The sequence below is a fragment of the Homo sapiens genome, chromosome 15 (genome assembly GCF_000001405.40).
Source record: "Homo sapiens chromosome 15, GRCh38.p14 Primary Assembly".
In the NCBI taxonomy this organism is placed as follows: Eukaryota; Metazoa; Chordata; class Mammalia; order Primates; family Hominidae; genus Homo; species Homo sapiens.
Genome location: NC_000015.10, coordinates 73615381 through 73635636, shown reverse-complemented (window position 1 = coordinate 73635636; position 20256 = coordinate 73615381). Strand labels below are relative to the sequence as shown.

The 20256-nt window shown below is 39.0% G+C and overlaps 1 protein-coding gene across 8 annotated transcripts in view, besides 4 other annotated features; it reads left to right on the top strand.

Annotated features, from left to right (window-relative positions):
* Nucleotides 2092-2391: a silencer, noted in NCBI's record as "silent region_6634". NCBI's record gives its function as "represses an Ori minimal core promoter by ATAC-STARR-seq in GM12878 lymphoblastoid cells {active_cell/tissue: GM12878}" and the evidence as "EXISTENCE:reporter gene assay evidence [ECO:0000049][PMID:35858748]".
* NPTN (neuroplastin) overlaps nucleotides 2248-20256 on the top strand; it is a 73376-nt gene continuing 55367 nt past the window's right edge. For all 8 annotated transcript variants that reach the window (XR_007064440.1, XR_007064439.1, XR_007064438.1 and 5 more), the window contains exon 1: nucleotides 2248-2512. Coding sequence is in view for 5 of the 8 variants with exons in the window: in NM_001161364.2 (NP_001154836.1) it covers nucleotides 2422-2512 (91 nt within the window). In the remaining 3 variants the exon portion in view is untranslated. The remainder of the gene's footprint in view (nucleotides 2513-20256) is intronic.
* Nucleotides 2472-2731: a silencer, noted in NCBI's record as "silent region_6633". NCBI's record gives its function as "represses an Ori minimal core promoter by ATAC-STARR-seq in GM12878 lymphoblastoid cells {active_cell/tissue: GM12878}" and the evidence as "EXISTENCE:reporter gene assay evidence [ECO:0000049][PMID:35858748]".
* Nucleotides 17260-17821: an enhancer, noted in NCBI's record as "OCT4-NANOG hESC enhancer chr15:73910157-73910718 (GRCh37/hg19 assembly coordinates)". NCBI's record gives its function as "activates a minimal SCP1, AML or CMV promoter by ChIP-STARR-seq in naive H9 embryonic stem cells {active_cell/tissue: H9 hESC(naive)}" and the evidence as "EXISTENCE:reporter gene assay evidence [ECO:0000049][PMID:30033119]".
* Nucleotides 17835-18424: an enhancer, noted in NCBI's record as "NANOG hESC enhancer chr15:73909554-73910143 (GRCh37/hg19 assembly coordinates)". NCBI's record gives its function as "activates a minimal SCP1, AML or CMV promoter by ChIP-STARR-seq in naive H9 embryonic stem cells {active_cell/tissue: H9 hESC(naive)}" and the evidence as "EXISTENCE:reporter gene assay evidence [ECO:0000049][PMID:30033119]".

The window sequence follows — 20256 nt, the reverse complement described above, 5'->3', positions numbered from 1 at the left end:
ATGTTCTTCCCAGATCACTTTTTGCAAGCATGAGATAAGAAGAAGAATACAAAGCTGGAGTCAGAATTGTAGTAGCAGCATCAACATCAACATGAGTGTTTACTATGCACCAGAAACTGTTCTAAACATTGCACATAAATTTACTCATTTATTCCTTCTATAATCTTGGAAGGTAGGTGCTATCATTAGCACCATTTGACAGAAAATAAGGTCCAGAGAGATTAGGTCATTTGCCTAAGATGACAGAGCTCCTGGATGGTAATGTTGGTGTTGTGGACTTGAATTTCATCTTTCCATTAGCCGGAACAGTCTATGTTATGTCACAGGAACAAATACCCCTTGAATCTCACAGTTTAATTCAACAGAGGGTACCTGTTCTGTATGGGTTAGCAGGGGGGTTAAGCTTATTATGCTAACTCAGGGACTAATGCTGACACAAGGTTCGTTTTGATATATGCTTTCATCGTCATGATCAGTAATCACTACCAAGACGAAAGAGTATGGGAAAGAGTCTAAACTGGAAATGAAATGCTTCTGCTTGAAGCAATGCATGTTACTTTACACATTTCACTGACCCAAGCACATCCAATGCCACTCCCGACTTCAAGGGGACAAGAAAATGCACTTCTACCATGAGTCTATTAACAAGCAAACCAGATTGTTGGCATTAATGATTAATACAAACATTCTGAGAGCTGGAGCCGTTCGTGTCCTCCTTTGGCTTCAGCTTCCCTATCCACAAAAAGACCATGATCATTTTGTAAGAATCTCTTGTTGTAAGGATCAAAGAGCCACATTTGTTACAGCTATAATGAGGCAGAATGGTTGCATCCAACCAAAGCTTCCATCAGCTGAAAATCTTGATCCCACCACAGGCAGCCCTGTAGCCCTCCTTACTGGGCTGTCTGCAGAATGGCCTTTGTCCAGATGAAGGTACATGCCAATCTTTTTGTCACTCACACACCTGAGGTTTTGAAGGACATAGTTTTCACTTCAATCAACAACATGCCATAGTGGTCCTGGCCTTTGCTAGAAATTTTGGTCTGGAACCACCAGCTGTTCAGTTCCTGTTGAAAGTTCCAGACCACTTTAGCTTGATAGAGATTGCGAGGGTCTCCTTCTTCCAGGTCCTCCAAACCCTCTCTTTAAATCAAGTCAGGCCACCAGGACTGTTTACTTGGCCCCTCAGAGTTTCCACAGACACTCCCAGGACGTCTGCTGTGAGTCAGGGATGAGCTAAGCCATAGAAATTCCTTTGCCAACCACAAGCCCTGAGGGTAGTACAAAAAATACCCCTAAAAAGAGCATTTCCCAAACTTCTATGCAAACAGTAGTAACCACACTGCCAATCACCCTCCAGAGTGCTTTGCTAGATCCTTTCCTATGGGGCCATTTGACCCTTCCTCACTCCTCTGCTAGCCTAGGCAGTGCACTCCATGAGGACGGGGACTACCTTTTCATGTGGGTTTCACTATGTGCCTGGCACACAGCACGTTCTCAATAAATGTTTTCCGCATTAAGACGCTTCTTAGGAGTCTTCATGTAAGTTCATACACGACTTCCTTGTAGAATTGTGTCAATGAACATGCAATTAGGCTAGCTGAACTTCAGGCCCTGAGAGTCTATGAAGCTAAAATAAGGCCCAGATGTGGGGTGGGAGGGGGAGTAGGCAGAGGCGGCAAAGGAGGACATTTCAGGCAAAGGGAGCAGATGTCCAGGCAGGAAAGCACAAGGTAACGGGGGCACAGGGGGCGCACCACTTTTCCTGGAAGGAAAAAACAGCAGATGAGAGAAGGAGGTTGGAGCCAGTTACCAGTAGAGGTCTATGTTCAAAGTCCAGAAGGAAGAAACAGCAGGACGGGGACAAAGAGAGGAAGGAGGAAAGGAGGCACGGTGTATGAAACTCTGTAGCCAAGAGCGCTAACAAATGAAAGGCAGGATGGGTGGAGGAAATGTACTGTGTTCCAAAGCTTCCTCTTATTTATGGGTGCTCCCGGGCCACAGAGGAGTAAACTGAAGGACTTCCCAGCTCCCCACTGCCCAGAGAGCTAGCGGAGTCCCGCCTCGCCCCGTCACATGGCCAGAGGCGCCCTCGGCACGTGACCTACCTCGCGCTAGGCCAATCAGCCTCTGCAGGGGCGGGGCCACCGAGTCCGCGGGGCGGGAGTCTCCGTCGGAGCCGCCTCTTCTCGCGATCCTTGCGGCGGTCGCTCCTCAGCCGCCCACGACCCGGAGCGAAGGTCTCGCGAGGCCTGGGCGCTGCGGCGGCAGGAGGAGGACGGGGAAGGACGGAGCCGAGCCGCGGCTGCCTCCCTCGCTCACTCCCTCGCGCACTCGCCCGCCCCCTCCCTCCCTCCCCTCCCTTCCCCGGCCCCGGCTCTGGCCCCGGCCCATTCGCTGTTGGGTCTTCTGCTAGGGAGGATGTCGGGTTCGTCGCTGCCCAGCGCCCTGGCCCTCTCGCTGTTGCTGGTCTCTGGCTCCCTCCTCCCAGGGCCAGGCGCCGCTCAGAACGGTAAGCGGGGCGCCGGGGGCGGGCCGGGCGGGGGTTGAGGGGCGCCGGGGCCGGAGGGGGCCCGGCTCTGGCCTGAGGAGACGCTGGAGCTCGGGGAAGGGGGCCGAGTGGGCGTCTGAGGGGCTGCGGGTCCGAGAGGAGGTACCGGCTGCGGGTTTGAGGAGGCGCGGGTGTGAGGACCGGAGGCTCCTATCCGAGCGGCGGGGGCGTCCGGGGTGAGCCCGAGGTGTTGCCCACTCGGAGGCTCCACGTCGTGGGGCTCGTCGTGCCGGGTCGGCGAGGGGACACGGAGGAAGCCGACGTGGGGAGCTGGAGTAGCGGGGGCGGATGAGGAGGGGGCGCAGCTCTTAGGGAGGGTGGCACAAGACCGGCGTTTGTGTTCCGGGCGACGGGGATGGTGGTGTCCGTCAGGCCCCCCGGGAGCTGGGGTCGTCCAGGATTCTACTGAGGCCCCGTAGGACTGGTGACATCCTTAAAAATAAGGGGGAAATTGGGGGGAAGAGAGTCCTGAGGAACACTAATGGTGAGCTGAGTACTAGAGACCAAAGGAGGGGGTAAAGAATCAGGGAACCTTGGATCTAGGGATAGAGGGAAGGTGGGTGGGAAGATGAGGGAGTGGGTTGACTGCAGTAGGGGACCTGGAGAGAGAAGCAGCAGTGTCTCCAAATGAGCTGGGGGAAGAGGGCTGGGTTTGCTAAAGAGGGTGGAGTGCTGGGCATTCTAGGGTAGTGGTTGGGAGAGCAAAAAGGAGTTTCTAAATAAGGAGAGGAAAATGAGCAGAGGATGGAGGGAAAGGGTTGGAACTGAGGTGGGGGAATATTTATTAGAGAAGTAAGGAGGCCTGGGTATAGAGATGGGGGTGGGGGAAGACGAAAAATAAGGGAAGGGAGTAAAATGCAGGAAGTCGGGGGTGTAATGTTGGTTTGCAGTGTGGAGGATAAATTAGGGAAGGGAGGAGTTGGGATGTGGCAAATGCTGTATGATATTGGTCGGGCCTTTGGGAAAACAGGGACACATAGCTGCAACTAATTGCAGTGGTGGGATTGAGGGCAGTGACTGGCGACAGGGAGATGGGGAAGTGGATTTTTGAGATTTAAAAGTTTCAAGACAGAAGAGACGTTATTTCCGAGGAACATGAAAGTGGCCCCTGGGAGGTGGTACAGTAGAAAGCAGAGAATTACTGGGTTTTGAATTGAAGCTCCTTTGAGAAGATGGAGAAGTGGTGGGGAATCATGGGCATAGGGACCTAAACAGAGCAGATTCTGATTGAAGACATGTGTTAGCATTCAGCTGCTGAATTGATCTTTCACAAGTGAGTCTAGGATTGTGAACCTGTTTCTGCCCTTGTGGAAACAGCCATTAAGAGGTTAAAGAATATTTTTTCTGTGAAGGAATTTATGAGAAGTCAGTACTGGAGAGTGAACTATAAATTATTTTTGCTAATCTTTCATTGTTTATTGTTAGGCCAGAACAATTTATGATTACTCTTATTAGAGAGGCTGCAATTTAAATTTTAAAAAATCAGTGATAGAGCCAGTGGAGTTTTTTGAGAAACTGGGTTTAAAATGCTGAATGTTAGAGTTTGTTTCATTATTCCTAAAACGAATAAAGGATTGACAATATCCATCAGTTAAATATGTGTTCGTAGTACCAAATTTTATGTGTGCTTCATGGCCTTGGATATCACTGCAGGGGTCAGGAAGGAAACATTTTTTCTGTCTCTAGCATTGAATATGCTAAGTGTATTGGGTATTTTTCCTGTTTTCCTCTAAGCATGAGTCCACTGTGGAAGGCAGGGTAGAGTTAGTCTTATTTGTCTTATCAGTTTTTCGACTGTGTCAACATGACTTAAAGAAGCCTAATGCTAATTTTAGCTATTCAGTTTATGGTAATAGCATAGTTTCATTTTGCACAATAGGTGAGAGATTCTTGATCTTAACATGTTTAATCTCTGCTGGCTTAGCTTTTTTCCAATGATTTATAATACGGTAAAATTGTAGTTTCTTAGCAACTAAAGCAAGGTTTCTGGATAGGCCTATAAAGACTCATCTGTCTGCTCAGTGATATGTGTTCTAAATACAGCATAGAACGGCCTTTCCCTTGAAATGAGCTTGAATTCAGTCACATGACATGACCGATGAAATGAAGCTGAGCTGCTGGTTGACCCAAATGAATGTAAATTTAATTCAAGGAAGAGATGGCTATTTTTGAGTTTGAGTTCCTATAGTTATGGATGCCATTTTATAGCTTTCTATATAACATGTCTTATTATAATATTCAAGCTTTCAGCTGGTAATAAATAGCCCTGCAGTGATCTGACTTCATGTCATGGAGTTTGTGTTTTCTTACAGTGCTTTCAAAAAGGGATACCTTGCTTGTGCATGATGTTGAAATGTTAGAAATGTTAGATTTTCTATTTAAATGACTGGAGAAAAAAACTCACAAGTATCTCTGAATTGGGAATGTAGTAGTTTAGATTGAATATAGATGTTTTTCAAAAGGCATTTGTTTCATTATTCCTAAAATGAAGAATTTGGCCTGTATGACTCTCAAGGTCTCTTGAAGCTCCAGTGAGTTTCTGACCCATTGTTGTGGACATTCAGGGCTTTCATTCAGATGGATTTTGTTTCTCATCCAAGAATTTAAACTTGTAAGACCAATTCCAAGTAAAATCCTTATTTGTTGACTTCTATATGTATCATCAAAATGGTAGTTTAAAGAGGAACTTGTTCTAAAAAGTAACCTTATAAGACATTCAAAAGCATTAGACTGCAATTGAGTGAGTGTAAACAAAGCAGTATAATGTGATGATCAAGAGTGCAGGCTTTGGACGGTGACAGACTCAGGTTTGAGTTCCAGCTGTCAGTAGCTGAGTGATCTTGAGTAATGCAAACTTCAGTTTCATCAGTTCATCATCTGTAAAGTGGAGATTACAATCATGTCCATTCCCTAGGGATGATGTGAGGATTAAATGAGATAATGACCGCTTAGATTTCAGCCTGAGTCTCAGTACATGTTAGCTATTACTACTATCCTTTAAAAAGGAGCATTATTTTTTATTTATTTTTCTTCATGTGTATATTGAAAACTTGATTGTTAATGCTGCTGTCATGGTAAATAGGCCATTTGAAGGCCCCACATAGAGATTTGTGCTTTTGCTTATGTAACTTTCTCAGAAAAGTGACCAGCTGCACTGTGTCTGCAATTGCCAATTCTGGTGAGGAAGTTAATATTTTTATTTGAGTTTCTGGGAGAGACTTTATGGCTTTTTTTTTTCTTTTTTTTCTGTGAACCAAATCTTTCAAGTGGGCCAGGTATCACTTTCTCATAGAGTATTATTGTTGTGAATAAGAGAAATAGAGTGTGGTACCCGGCACACAGTGGGAGTGTTATAGATGTTAGCTGAATTAATGAATGTGGAGTGGTGTGTAAAAACGTAATATATTCATATGGAAAATATGACATCACAAAATTAACACTGTTCAATGGAGGAAAATAAGGAATCTAATGAATCTTATTTTTAACGACCTAAATTTTAGAAACCATTTTGTTTGGGTGATACTAGATAGTTGTGAACATTGTGCTTTGTAATAATGCCAGTATTTGCATTAGATGATTCATGGATCTTTTTCTTTTCTGTCAAGGGCTGTTTGCTTCAGTGGTTTAGCAATTTTCTCTCACTGAGTACATTTTTAGAGGTGTATTTGCTAATTGATTGCGTGTTTCCTCTTTGAACTGAAATGAGCAACAGAAGACACATCTTATCTATGGCAGCTGTGGCACAAATGACATGCCGAATGTCAAGCAAAAAATTTTGAAATAATCCAAATAAGATTTGACCAGAAGAAATAGTTTGCCTTGACATAAAGCCCTTCCTAAGGAGATCACAGGCTTTCAGTCTCTCAGGCTACTGGCTAAAATGTCACTACTGATATAATGCAGCACCCAGGCATGAGAAATTGGTTCGGTCTGGGAGGATAGGCCATGTTACTACATCAGGACCCATTCCCTGGGTTTGTTTTACAAGGTTACTGGATCCAAATTAGAAAGAGATACAGATGGGTTTTTGTGTTGCCAGACGCAGTAGAGCTTAACTTGTGAATATACCAAGATTTAAAACCACAAAAGGAAATAAAACCCCTTAGATGTGAGGTTGGAATTCATTACAGGTCTGACTTCGCTTGATTAATACAGATCCTTATGAGAAATTAGACTGTTTTAAGGGAATCCCATTGTTTTTTCTCATTAATACAGATTTGATGTGAAACAGTTTCTTTTGTGGAATATGCCTTTAGACATTAATAAAAAGCAACATTATATTATCTTTATTTTAACTTTAAAATAAAGTTTAAATAAAAATAATTATTTAAATTAAAAAAAGATTTAATTGGGCCTTGAAAGATGACCAAATGTAATTAGAAAAGTGCTCTGTCAGTTTGAACATTGTTTTTCATTAGTCTGAGGTACTTTTTAAAAGTAAGATGTTTTGTGTGTAAACTCTGAAACTTGCTGGGTCTGTGTAAAGGTTTTTTACAACGATTCGGGAAGGAGATAAAGTGCTAATATCTATTAAAATGAAGTATGTAGAGAAACAGTGAGTGACCATGTTGGATACCATACAAGAGATGTTCAACAAAAGTTTGAATAAAATTATGCAGAGTAGTTTTGGAAAAGTGAATTTTATGAAAATCGTTCTGATGTATTCTATTCAATTTACTGTTTGCAGTGAGAGTACAATCTGGACAGGATCAGAAGTAGAGAATGAAGTTGTAAGAGAAAGGGAAAGACAGAAGAAAGGCTGCAGTAGTACAAGGAGAAAAGCAGGATGCAAGAATGAGGAATGAATCTTTGTTTGAGGAGCATCCGGAAAAATATAAGCTGTCAGAAAGAGTAAATAGACCAGGGACCTCTAAAGTAAATTCACACATCAAAGTTAAAATAATGTTGGAGAATCACCTCCTGTGAAAAATTGGCTTAGCTTTCAGTATGCCTCTTTAAACAAAACATTATCATTTTATACAAATTTTTAAAATGTTGTTCATAATATGGAGTTTAATTTTAAGCACCTTAGATAATGCATTTGTAAGCTTGTTTGTGAAATTTTTATGGATTTTTTTTTTCAAAATTCCTAATTTTAGTTGGTAAGGATTAACTTCGGGAAGACAGGAAACCCCTCCAGTAAAATTAATTGGTTATAAATGGTTACATATTTTAGGCTTATATACATAACAAAACTTCTTACTGAATTTAAAAGTGATCTTGTGTAAAAACATTATTCTAGTGATATTGATGTCTAAATTTAAAAGAGTGAATACACAAGTAAAATATATCTGCTTTTTAAGGATCTATTCAGTTTAGGAAGGAGAGTCAAAATTTGTATTTAATTTCAATTTATTATATTGTCTGAAACTGAAAGTAGGCCTAACTTTTGTTTGCTTTTGTGTATGTACAAAGGCAAACATTTATCAATCAACTCTTATTAATTTGAGATTATTTTGACCTGATTGCTCAGAACTTTTGTCTATCTGTATAGAAATGGGGTTTTCTAAATATTTAAAGAATTTCCTACGTATGTAAATTTACTTGCACACAGTAAGTTAGGGGAGACATTTAATATTCCTCAGATACCTGCTGTTTTCTTGTTGTGTTTCTTGTTTTTCAAATAAATAAACTGAGTGTTATCTGTTCATTAAAATAGAATGTAGTCAGCTCGAGGGAAACATTTTGTATTGAGTTTCTTGTACTAAAAAGCACTAAATGGTATTCTCTTGCATTTCTGAAACAATTATGGAATGTTTTAAGACTAGCCTTCCTACCAAATAATCTTAACTACTGGAGCTTTATGATATACTTTATGGTATTTTCCAGAAATATGTCAATTTTTTTTTAAAGATGGAGTCTTGCTCTGTTGCCCAGGCTGGAGTGCAGTGGCATGATCTCAGCTCACTGCAACCTCCACCTTCTGGGTTCAAGCAATTCTCCCTGCCTCAGCTTCCTGAGTAGCTGGGATTACAGGCGCCAGCCACCATACTCAGCTAATTTTTGGATTTTTAGTAGAAATGGAGTTTCGCCATGTTGGCCAGGCTGATCTCGAACTCCTGACCTTAGGTGATCTGCCCACCTCGGCCTCCCAAAGTGCTGTGATTACAGGTGTGAGCCACTGTGCCCGGCTGAAATATGCCAATTTGGATATCCTTCTCTTGCCTTATTAAAAATCATCGGTCACCCAGGTATTACTTCAAATTTACTAGACAGTGAAATATAAATGAGATGGTATGAAATCACTCTGAAAGTATTAGGGTTGGATATATTATGTAAGTTTCTATAATTAGAAAGCATTAAGTCCCAAATCGTACCAATAGTTTTAATCATATCTAAATGGATACTCACATACTAAATGTGATTAAATATAAAATGCATAACGAAATGTCACATCCTTTCCTGATAGAATACTAATAAGGCATAGTATTTCATGTGCAGGAAGATACAGGAAAACACACAAGTAAGAGTTTGTTTTGCATATATAAATTGTTATGCCTTTGAGATTCTTTTCTTCCTGATGGTAGGATTTGGAAACCATTGGACTAGATGATGTCTAAATTTCCTTTCAGTTCTAAAAATTACTAAATATCTTGCCCTTATAGCTTAGATACTGTCTCCAATAGGTTAAAGGCTCAGAGATGATAACACTTTCTGTTTAAAAGTTTTTAGAAACTTACTTTTGAATATAATGAAAATTAACTTTGAGGCATGCACTGTTTTGAAATCTAAATGCCTCTAAATCTACTTCAGACAACCCTTGCAGTTCTTGTTTCAAGGGAGGCAGAACCGTGTCTGTTATGCAGAGATCTTATATTAAACTTGCTGGGAAAATTGCCAGTGTGAATAAAGAAGTGAATATTCCTGCCAGGTAGGTAGGTATTTTATGATCTTTCTGTTGGCTGAAAGTGGTTGACTAATAAAGAGACAATGAAACACACTTAACTATTTGTATTTTTATGTTATCTTTCGAGAAAGTTTGTTTTCTATATATGAGTTAGTTTCTGCAGTCCCTTATGCATTTTTTAAGACCTGGAAATCCGTCCATTATAGTCGAAGAAGGCAACCCCAAGTGTTAACTGAATTAAATCCTAGCAAGTTCCTTGATTGTTATTCCTTAGAAACATTGTGTTTAAAGGTCTCAAGTTGTAAACATTCATGGTACTACTTTGTTATCTGTTAGGTCCATTTCTTTTCCTTTTTTTCTTTTAGATCTTTAGAATTTCAAACATGTACAAAAATAGATTAAGTAATGAATAAACCCCTGTGTATTCATCATCTAGTTTCAGCTACACCCTTGCTACTTATTAATTTAAAAATAACCTAAAAATTACATTGCAAACTAGAATTTTCTAGGACCTGAAATGTAGTCAGTAGGGGTTAGTTTATATGAGTAAAAGATAATATTTGGTTCACATGTAATCATGTTGAAATTACTTGAAAAATAAAGCTCTTGGCCGGACGCGGTGGCTCACTCCTGTAATCCCAGCACTTTGGGAGGCTGCGGTGGGCGGATCACGAGGTCAGGAGATCGAGACCATCCTGGCTAACACGGTGAAACCCCATCTCTACCAAAAATACAAAAAATCAGCCAGGGGTGGTCGCCGGCACCTGTAGTCCCAGCTACTCGGGGCTGAGGCAGGAGAATGGCGTGAACCCGGGAGCCGAGAACATGCCACTGCACTCCAGCCTGGGTGACAGGGCCAGACTCCGTCTCAAAAAAAAAAAGCTCTTTAGAAAAAGGCTTTCAAACTTTTTTGTCTGTGACCCAGATAGAGAAGTAGTTTTTGACTAATAGAAATTTATAACAAAATTACACAAATATGTAATATCTTGTGAAACATTACCTATTATTAATCTGTGTGAGGTAGTTAAGAGAACCATAGTGACCTTCTAAATTGAATTCACAATTCATGGGCCGTGAAACTCAGTTTGAAAAACAGCATTTTCAGGTATGGAGTAGTTTGGGGCTTTTGTTTATTTTTTACATGCCATGTTAGTCTGGAATAATTATGATTTTTGTTAACACAAGGATTTTCACTAGACATTTATCAGTAATATCAGCATATACTGTTATTAGTCATTATGAGTAAAGAAAATAAAACATTTTGGATTTATACATTAGCCATTATATATAGCGATTTTTTTTCCTTTTAGAACTTTAGAAAAAGGGGAAGCCACAGTAATTTGAATATAATCAAGACATAACTTTTCCAGTATATTCAGTTGACCTTCCTTTTAAATTAGACCTTGTGTTCCTTATTCCTGAGCCTTTGAGTTTGCAGGGCTGGGAGTACTAATGTTTATTCTAAGCCAAATGCTTTACTTGGTTGCTGTAGTCTGAGGCACATTTCTGTTGAGTACAGATTGACTTGAATACTGGCCAAGGGAAGAGAGAGAGAGGGTAAGCAGAACCATCACTAAAGAATCATCTGCCGTTCATGTTTAAGATCCTAGAGTAGTGGGATTATTTCCTAGTTTTTAGACACTGCTTCCTGGAGGAAAAAAAGGCAACAAGATGTCCTCCTTTGTTGGCAACTATCTGTGAAAAACTTCTAAATTCATAGATTGAAGGAATGTGTTAAATTTAACTTGGGATTTTTTTGATTATACGAGTTTAGCAGGTTTGGGAATCATTGCCGAACAACTGGAAAAAAATAGCACAAGGAGCTCCAGCATTGAAATTATATTCATTAATGCTGAATCTCAAATCGTGCATCAAGGGAGATGAAATAAATGGCCTTAATGCAAACCAGGAAACTGCTACCTGGAAAAAAGCAAGTATAAAGAGGTTTCAAATAGCTTGCAGTGAACTGTCATTGAATTACCCTTACACAAATAACATAGTGATCACGTATCAAAAGTATGGTGCTAACCTAACAGCATTACTGTTTTCTACTAGGATTGAACTCCAAATAAGAATACTTTCTAACCACATTTTGGAAGAGACATAGAATCTATGTTGATGGTAGCTTAAGATTTAGGAGAAAAGCCTGAAGGAGCTAAACTTAGGAACAGGGAGCACTAGGGGGATGTGATTATCTATTAATACTTTCAAGGTAGCAGTGTAAATGAAGTAAGGGAATTAGGCAGTCTCCAAAGATGGATGGGCTGTATCAAAGAGCAATGGCCTAGAGCACAGGGAAGAAAGCATAGGTTTAGTATTAAGATGATTTTAATGAAACTAGCGGAAGAATAGAGTTATTTGCACTCATCGTCAGAACCATTATAAGTAGGACAAAGAGCTGGTTGAGAGGGTACTCAAAAACAGAAATGATCTCTTTCTTACATAGTACTGTGCTTGTTTAGAAGCTCAATGAGAGAAAAATATGGAAATGAATATGAAATGAAATGGACTTTTCAAAAGTTAGTGTGTTTTTCTGTTGTTTGTTTTGTTTTGAAACAGGGTCTCACTCTGTTGCCTAGGCTGGAATGCAGTGGCGTGATCATTACTCACTGCAGCATCAACCTTCCAGGCTCAGGTGATCCTCCTGCCTCAGCTTTCCAAGTAGCTGGGACCACAGGCGCATACCTCCATGCCTGGCTAATTTTTGAATTTTTTGTGGAGATGAGGTCTCCCTATGTTGCCCAGGCTGGTCTCAAACTCCTGGACTAAAGTGATCCTCCTGCCTGTGCCTCCCAAAGTGCTGGGATTACAGGCATGAGCCACAGCCCCCCTGCCAGCCAGAAGTTTTTAAAGATCAGAAATTAGTGTTTCTAGCTCTAAACTTCTATGATTATGAATCCAAGTAAAATGGTAGATTAACTTTGGAATCCATTAAGGTAGCTTTTAGGACTTGCCTGTGATATTAGAACAGAATTTTGCTTACTATAACCTTCAGAAGCAACTTCTTTTTGTTATCAAAAAGCTAAACTATGAAATCCTTCCAATACGTGTTGAATACAAAGAAGCCTAGATAATAAAGAGCCCGTTAGACTTTATATGAAACCTAGTAAAAGTATAACCTTTGGCCATTAGAAATTAAGCTTTTTCTTTTATATGGTAAATGTATGCTATTAAAAACCTGGAAAAGGACACTTTCATCCTAACTCCTAAGACTTCATTAGTTAAAATCCTGCTGTGATAGAAGCCACAGCCTGTCTTTAGAAGTGGGAGCTGGTGCTGTAATACCTTGGTAGAGGTGGGAGCTCACTTTAGTTTGAAGAGTGTAGGGTTGTCAGATAAAATATAGGATGCCCAGTTATATTTGAATTTCAGATCAAAAATGAAGAATTTTTATTTACGTAATATGGCAACCCTGGAAGAATGTATCTTTGCTATTTTGGCCTTCCAGTTAGAACTTAAAAGACAGCCTTGTAATTTGGTGAGGTTTTTGTGTATTAAAAGAAACCTTCCTAAAGTAGATTTAATATGGACAAAATCATGTTGCATTGCAAATTTTGTATGAGAAAATATAGGTTAGAGTAGCATTGTTTTATTTTGATAACCTCACATTTCTATATGTGTTTTCTTCAGTTCAGCTACCTTATATCTGACAGTAATTTTTTTCATTTATTCTCTGAAATTAAAGCTGTTTTCGAGAAGAAGGTGGGCTGAGGGCGTCAGGCTTTTTTTTTTTTTTTTTAAAACAATTCTCCCTCTTCTTACCTAAAATATTTAAAAATTTAGGGCATTATTGCCTAAAGGGTATATGATAAGGATGTTTCTGGGACTTCTCGTTTAAGGATTGCCCTTTTCCATATTTGTGCCTGGGGGCTTGGAATATATTTGTATTCTTGGTTTGGAAGAAGAAAAAGGTATAAATGAAGATGTGATTGACCACACCCTTTTCTTTCTAATGGGTTCAAAATAATTTTCACTTGCTGAATTGTAACCACCTGATTTAGAGAGTCAGAAAGTGGATGTTAACAATGCAGACAGACTAGGGATGTGATTACTTTGTTTTTTTGTTTGGTTTTTTTTGTTTGTTTTCAGAGATGGAGTCTCACTCTGTCACCCAGGCTGGAGTGTAGTGGCGCGATCTCAGCTCACTGCAACCTCCATCTCCCGGGTTCGAGTGATTCTCCTGCCTCAGTCTCCTATGGGATGTGATTACTTTATACCTAAATTTCAGTACTAAGAAAATCATGGTTTGATGAGTTTTTAGTAGTGGTTTGTCCCTGTTTATCAGTAATTCATTGTAAGAGCTCTCCCTTTTGTCCTTTTGTTATGGGCTAAGGCAAGGAGTGGTGCCTATAAGAATAAGAGGACTCGAACAGTGGAATAGGTTCCAGGGAGAATGATATTAAGGAACATGAAACATAACCCTAGTTATACTTACCCATATTTATTTGAAATATATTTAAGGTAATTTTAAAAAGTACTAAAAGTAACTTGTAGTTTTTATGAAAGTAGGAAATTACCATTGTAAATATAAAATGTGAATAAGAACTATACTGAAAAGGTCATCTTGTTGGGTAATGAAGTTAAGTAGAAAGAACACTGGATTTGGCAGTAGCCCTGTAATACTGTCTGTTTGCATTTTAGTACTCTGGTTTCTGTTTTAAAAATTAGTGTAATACTTAACCCATAGAGTTTTATGGGATTAAATTACAATGTATGCTGAAGTGCTTAATAAACTGCTATATTTTTAAATGGCATGCTTGTTTAGCTTTGAGTTATAGGGCATGGTATTTATAGTGTTTACCCTTAATAGGTTAACTGCAACTCTGGTAGTTCATAAGAAAGTTAAGAGGAAAAATAAAGTACTAATGAGAAAGGCCAGATTATTTCAAGGTTGGCTCTTTTGACAAATGATGAGCATATCATTAAAATGTGCATTTTAGATGGTTGTTAATAGGCCAGTCTTTTCATTGAATTAATTATTCCTCTCTACTAGGGAAGGTTAATATCGAATTTCTGTAATCTTTGTAGTGTGCTCACTGCTCTCACTTCAAGTTAAATTTAGTCACAGGGACCCTTGTTATTTTTCATCCCCATTCTCTCCTCCCCGAGATAGGTGACTGAAAGTGAAATCAGATGTCTATCTGTGTTAACTTTTTATAGCAAATTTTTGTAGCTCCCTTTTACTATCCTGAAATAAAATTCATAGATGTTTTGACCTACCTACATGTTATTGAAGAAAAAACAATCTGATGTCCTAAATGTAATATAAAGGAGAAAATAAGGGTAAGTAACTCTAATAATACAATGTTTAGATCAGTCTGTAAGTGCTAAGAGATGGCTGGACAGAAAGACATTGAAGTAGCCCATTGTTTATATTAGAAAAACCAAGCTACAAATTCAGACCGATACAGTTGTGCTGTAATGGTGAATTGAATACTATAGACAGTGTTGCTGTTGATAATGTGATTTTCTGAAAAGGTGAACAGCTCTTGGTAGAGTTCCAAATGAACGAAAGAACAGTCTATTCTCACTTTACACAGTAATTACATTCCTGGAAAATTAAGTGATGATTAAAATCATGCAAGAATACTTTGTGTTATATTTAAAACAGAGTTGGGTTCTGGGCTCAGAACAAGTTTTTCATCTTGAATGTCATTTGAAAGTGGTATAGGAAGCGGGACAATTCTTTACTGTGCAAGACTTTTCCTTACTTTGTGGGATGTTGCAAATCCTTGGTGCCTGCCCACTAAAGACTAGTAGTTTCACCTCAGTCATTGTGTCAACCAAAAATAGAGAAATTTCCAAAATGCCCTATAAAAGGCAGGGCAACCCCCATTGAGAATATCTTCATTTTGTTCCTGTACTTGTAAGTGTCCTCTGAGGTAGGATTATAGTACTTAGTCCCTAGGACTATCAGTAGTCAAAGCCACATGCCTTCTAGGAATGGAAAGGCAAGGAGAACAGCTGTTGACTTGCCTTTACTCTTTTTGTTGACATGCATTAAAGCAGGGTTTGCAAACTCATTTACCACAAGAGCTAAACAAGTACCATTTGCTAAACTAGAGAATACATGCTTTGAAAACACTGAAAGTTGGATTTAAAAACACTGTGCTGATGAAATAAAATTATCAGTGGGCCTCTAAGTTGTGTCCCTTTCACCAAAGGATTATATTATGAATTTTGGAGCCTGAGAGATTAGGTTGAAACCCTGATTTTTGGCAAATCTCTTAATCTCTCTTAGCCTCTGTTTTCTCAGTCGCTTATTAGACATAACGCATACCTCACAGGATGGTGGTTAGAATGAGACTGCATATATACAATGCCCAGTACAGTACATGACACAAGATACATGTGCTTAGTGAACTTTTCTCTTTGCCCTAATACCCATTCAGTTATCTTGGTTACTTTTTAATCTGTTGTTTTAAAGCTAGCTATGTGTTCTATAGTAAAATGATTATAAAATTTGAAATCTTTAATATAGAGGATATTAGTCCCTTCTTATTTTTAACAAGCTAGAAAGTAATTACAATGAACTTTTTTGGTTAACACACAACTTATTTACCATTTAGGATGTGTGAAGCCTGATGCTTATAACGCTAAATATGCTTATTCCAAACTATTTCAGTAGATCACCCTCCTTGGTCTTTCAGGTTAGCTTTTAACATTAATGTATCCAGGTAGCAGTGGTCTTTATTTTTGAAGCCGTCTTGCAGCAGGTAATTTTGCTAATACTACAGTAATGTATTGCACCATCAAAATTAAGTTGTTCCATAGAAGTGACATGTTTTGGTAGTTGTTGCTTGACTTAGAAATTTAGCAGCATGAGTTTTACTAGGAAACTATGATATATTATTTTCTTCCAGTTTTCCAGTGAATGTTTTGAAAGTTTTACATTTTCTTGCTTCTTGTAAAATTTTGTAGAGACGTACATAGCTTGCTGTACATCTTGTTTTCAGCTTTTAGCAGCAGAAAGTTTTCTTTTTAAACATTAGTAATTAAGACAATGATCTAAATAGTTAAAGCAATAGAAGCTTTATTCCCATCACCATAATTCTGTTGTCCCTCTTTGTTTTCCTCTACAATATGATTTGGAATCCTTTTAAAGACCTCTATGCCTTAGTTTAAATTTTTTAATTTAAGTTAATTTATTGTTACTATTTTTTTTTTTTTTTTTTTGAGACAGGGTCTTGCTGCTGTGTTTGCCCAGGCTGGAGTGCAGTGGTATGATCATAGCTCACTGCAGCCTCGACTTCCCAGGCTCAAGCAATCGTCCTGTCTCAGTGTCCTGAGCAGCTGGGATTACAGGTGTGCACCACCACACCCGGCTAATTTTTTAAAAAACTTTTTTGTAGAGATGGTGTCTCACTCTGTTGCCCAGGGAGGTGTTTTTGTTTTGTTTTGTTTGAGACAGGATCTTGCTCTTTCATCCAGGCTGGAGTCAGTGGTGAGACCACAGCCCACTGCAGCCTCCATTGTCTGGGCTCAAGTGATCCTTCTACCCCAGCCTCCCGAGTAGTGGGACCACAGGTGCGTGCCACCATGCCCAGCTAATTTTTAAAAATATTTCATAGAGACAGAGTCTCACTGTTGCTCAGGCTGGTCTCCAAAGTGTTGGGATTACAGGCTTGAGCCACTGCACCCAGCCTGTAATTTCTTATAAAGTTATTTTATTTTTCCTATCTTAATTTTATTCTCTTCTTACACATACTTTCTTGATCCTGTTTCTTCTGGTATCTTCAGTTGTTTCTAGATAAACATTTGCCACTTAAAATTTTTAAATTCTATTTTAATCCTTTTTAGACAGAGAGGTAGTGGTTCCATATTCTAAGTGTAATATAAAAGTTTAGATGACTGGTGTTTATTGAGCAGGAGTGTTTCCATATTGTGAGTGGGTATTTTTGCATTTCCTAATAGCTGTTTAATGACTTTCTTTGTATGGTAGAGATCTTTCTAACATATATTTTTTTTAACTCTTTTAATCCCCAAAGGGTCATAATGCCCATGTTTCTCAGAAACAGCTCAGCTGGTCTTCAAGGCCTAGTCACAAAGGAAATTAATTCCTGATGGAAGTGAGGACATCGAGGCAGAAAGAATTCCAGGCAGGCGGCTAGTAATGAATATTGATTGTGAGCTATGTGGTACTTGCTTCCCTGCAGAGCTACCACTTACTGTGGAGTAGCATACGTGAAACGTTGTGAAACGAAATGTCTGCCCATGGAGCATAGAATTTGCTACTCAGTGGCAAGTAGACATTAAAAATTCAATTATGAGGTGGAGTGGTGCTAGGGGTAGTCAGACTTTACAGCTGGAGGATGAAAGGGCAAATTTTGATATGCATTAAAGGGAGAAAAAAACACCAGTAGAGTATATAAAGTAGTAGTTCTTGCTGTAGGAACATTAGGTTATAGTGAAAATTGCTCAGAAGTTATCAGAAGAATGAGCTTTCCTGGCATTTGTATTTTAGTAACACGTGTGTGTATTTCAGCAGCTTTGTAAAGCCGAATGGGAGTTTGAGTGGAATGTGTTTTTAGTAGTGTCTTAGTAGAGTGTCACCTTACCATTCTGCAACACTATCTGTTTGTCACAGAAAGAACTAAAGAATTGTGTCAAGTCTTGAACTCTCAAAATATACCACTGGAAAAACTTGACAGGCCCAGTAGTAGGTGAGCCTGAGGTAACCAGATACATAAGCTTGTCAGCCATCTGTGCCTAGAATTTAGTGAAGTTTTCATCAGGTCAAATTTCCAAAGAATAGCTGTAACTAACCACAGGAGGGAATACCAGTGGTTAGTTAGGAAGGATGAATCCTCCTGCATTGGATAGTGGTTAGCCAACATTTTGATACTGAATTATTTCATTCAGCTTTTTGAAAGAAGGAAAAAGTTATTGGATTTTTAAAAATTATGAAAGGATTTGCTTACATGATAACTTCAAATAATACTTTGGTGTTTAAAATGTTGAAGTTCTTCCTTTTACTCCTTGATATTCCTGCTTTTTAGTTAGCAGTGTTAGTAGTTTGTTGTGTATCCTTTCAAAGCTTGGTTTATGTAGGCATGTCATTTACATACTGTGATGCTTTGCATTTAGTAGTATGTTACAATTCATCTTGGTATTTATAGTCTTTTTTTGAATATAGTAATTGGAGTGACAGATATTTTCATTTATGTAAACGTATGGAACTGCTGGAATACATCTGTTGTTACTAATTGTCACCAAAGGGAATTATGTTGATAGTGACTGCATTCTTGATATTGAAATTGGCCTACTGAGAGGGAAGCAGGGAAAAGCTTCATTAAATGGAATAGAAAAATATACTACTTCAATTTTATCCAGTTTTTGGCTGAAGTCTTCAGTGTTCACACATTTAATATCTTAGCCATGTGGGTAACTCCTGGGACAGCTCTGCTAATTTTTAGCGAAAGCATTCTGGAAACAATTTTGCTGTCCCTTTTCAAGACAAGCAGCAATATTTTTTACTGGTGTTTGGGACACTAGGTAAGTAGTATAACCTGACTCTCTACCTCACTGCAGAGGTGAAAATTCTACTTAATCATGTAGTTACGAGGTAATACAGACCTGAAACAAGTTGAGGAGAGTAGAAATAAGAAGTAATTGTGAAGGGAGAATAGAATAGATTTGGACAATTGGCTGAATTTTGGGATTTCCTGAGGGACTGAGGAGGCAGCAGGTTTTAGTGGATAGAGCATTAGTGAACAGGAGTCAGAATATTTGAATTCTAGCTAAGGGTTCTGCAACTAAAGTATAGCCTCTTTGGCCCGTGGTATATCTGAGTGTTAATTTGGGGCAAGAATTAGATTTAGGAGTTTTCAACCTTTAGCTGCAGAAAGTTTGTTGTTGTTAATTAGATACAAGTAGAGCTGTTTGAGGGGTAGAGGGAGTCCCATAAGTGTTCCAAAGAATCTTTAGGGTCTGTGGAGCCGGGTTTTTAAATTGAAAAATGGATGACCCCTTTGTAGACCTACTTTTAAAGTTTTTGCATAAGAGTGTTTTGTACCTTTGGTTCATAATGTACTTGGTCAGTCTTGATACCTGCACGGAAGAGGTCCTGTGCATACTTTGTAAAACTGAGAATTAAGATACTTATATATATGTCCATTGTTGAAATAAGACCAACAGAAAAGATGACCCATTTAAGATAGAATGTATAAAATAGCACAAATATAATTACCCTATGCAAAATGGATTCAGTAAAATAATTTTTATTACAAGGCTTGCCAACCTCTGGGGAAGAAAGAGCTACCTGTCACTTACCCGAGTTTTGAAATCCAGGTATATGTACATGATAGAGTGCAGAAATGTGCTGTTAAGTCTCTGGTTGGAAAGAGGATGAACCTGCTATTTTCATCTCTTCTTGGTGGGAAGAAAATCTTAGGGGCGTATCATTTTAGTAACCATCTTGGAGATCTGTCAGTAAGAACTGGAAACCTACTGCCAAGTTCCAGTTTACTAGTTAGGAACATCAGCTTTTAAAAATCGGTCTTTGTTAGTAATGCCAAATGCCTTTTAAACTCATAGGCCCACATAGACTTTTTGTATAGGTAATTCAGATCGGGGATGAAAGTGTAGTGATAAAGGCCTGAACTGTTAACCTTGATGACAGAGAAGTGGAACTCACTGTGTACAGTCTTTCTAAGATAAAATGTGTTTGGATTAAATAATGTATATAGGATATTGTTTAGTTCTGATTGTTTATAGTAAAAGCATTGCTGTCAGTGAGGCAGTATAGTGTAGTGATTGCAAGCTCTGGAAGTATACTGCCAAGGTGTGCATCATTCCTCTGTACTGTGTAGAATGGCAAAAGCAACCTTAAGAGGTAGACTGTATCTTTATGTAGCAA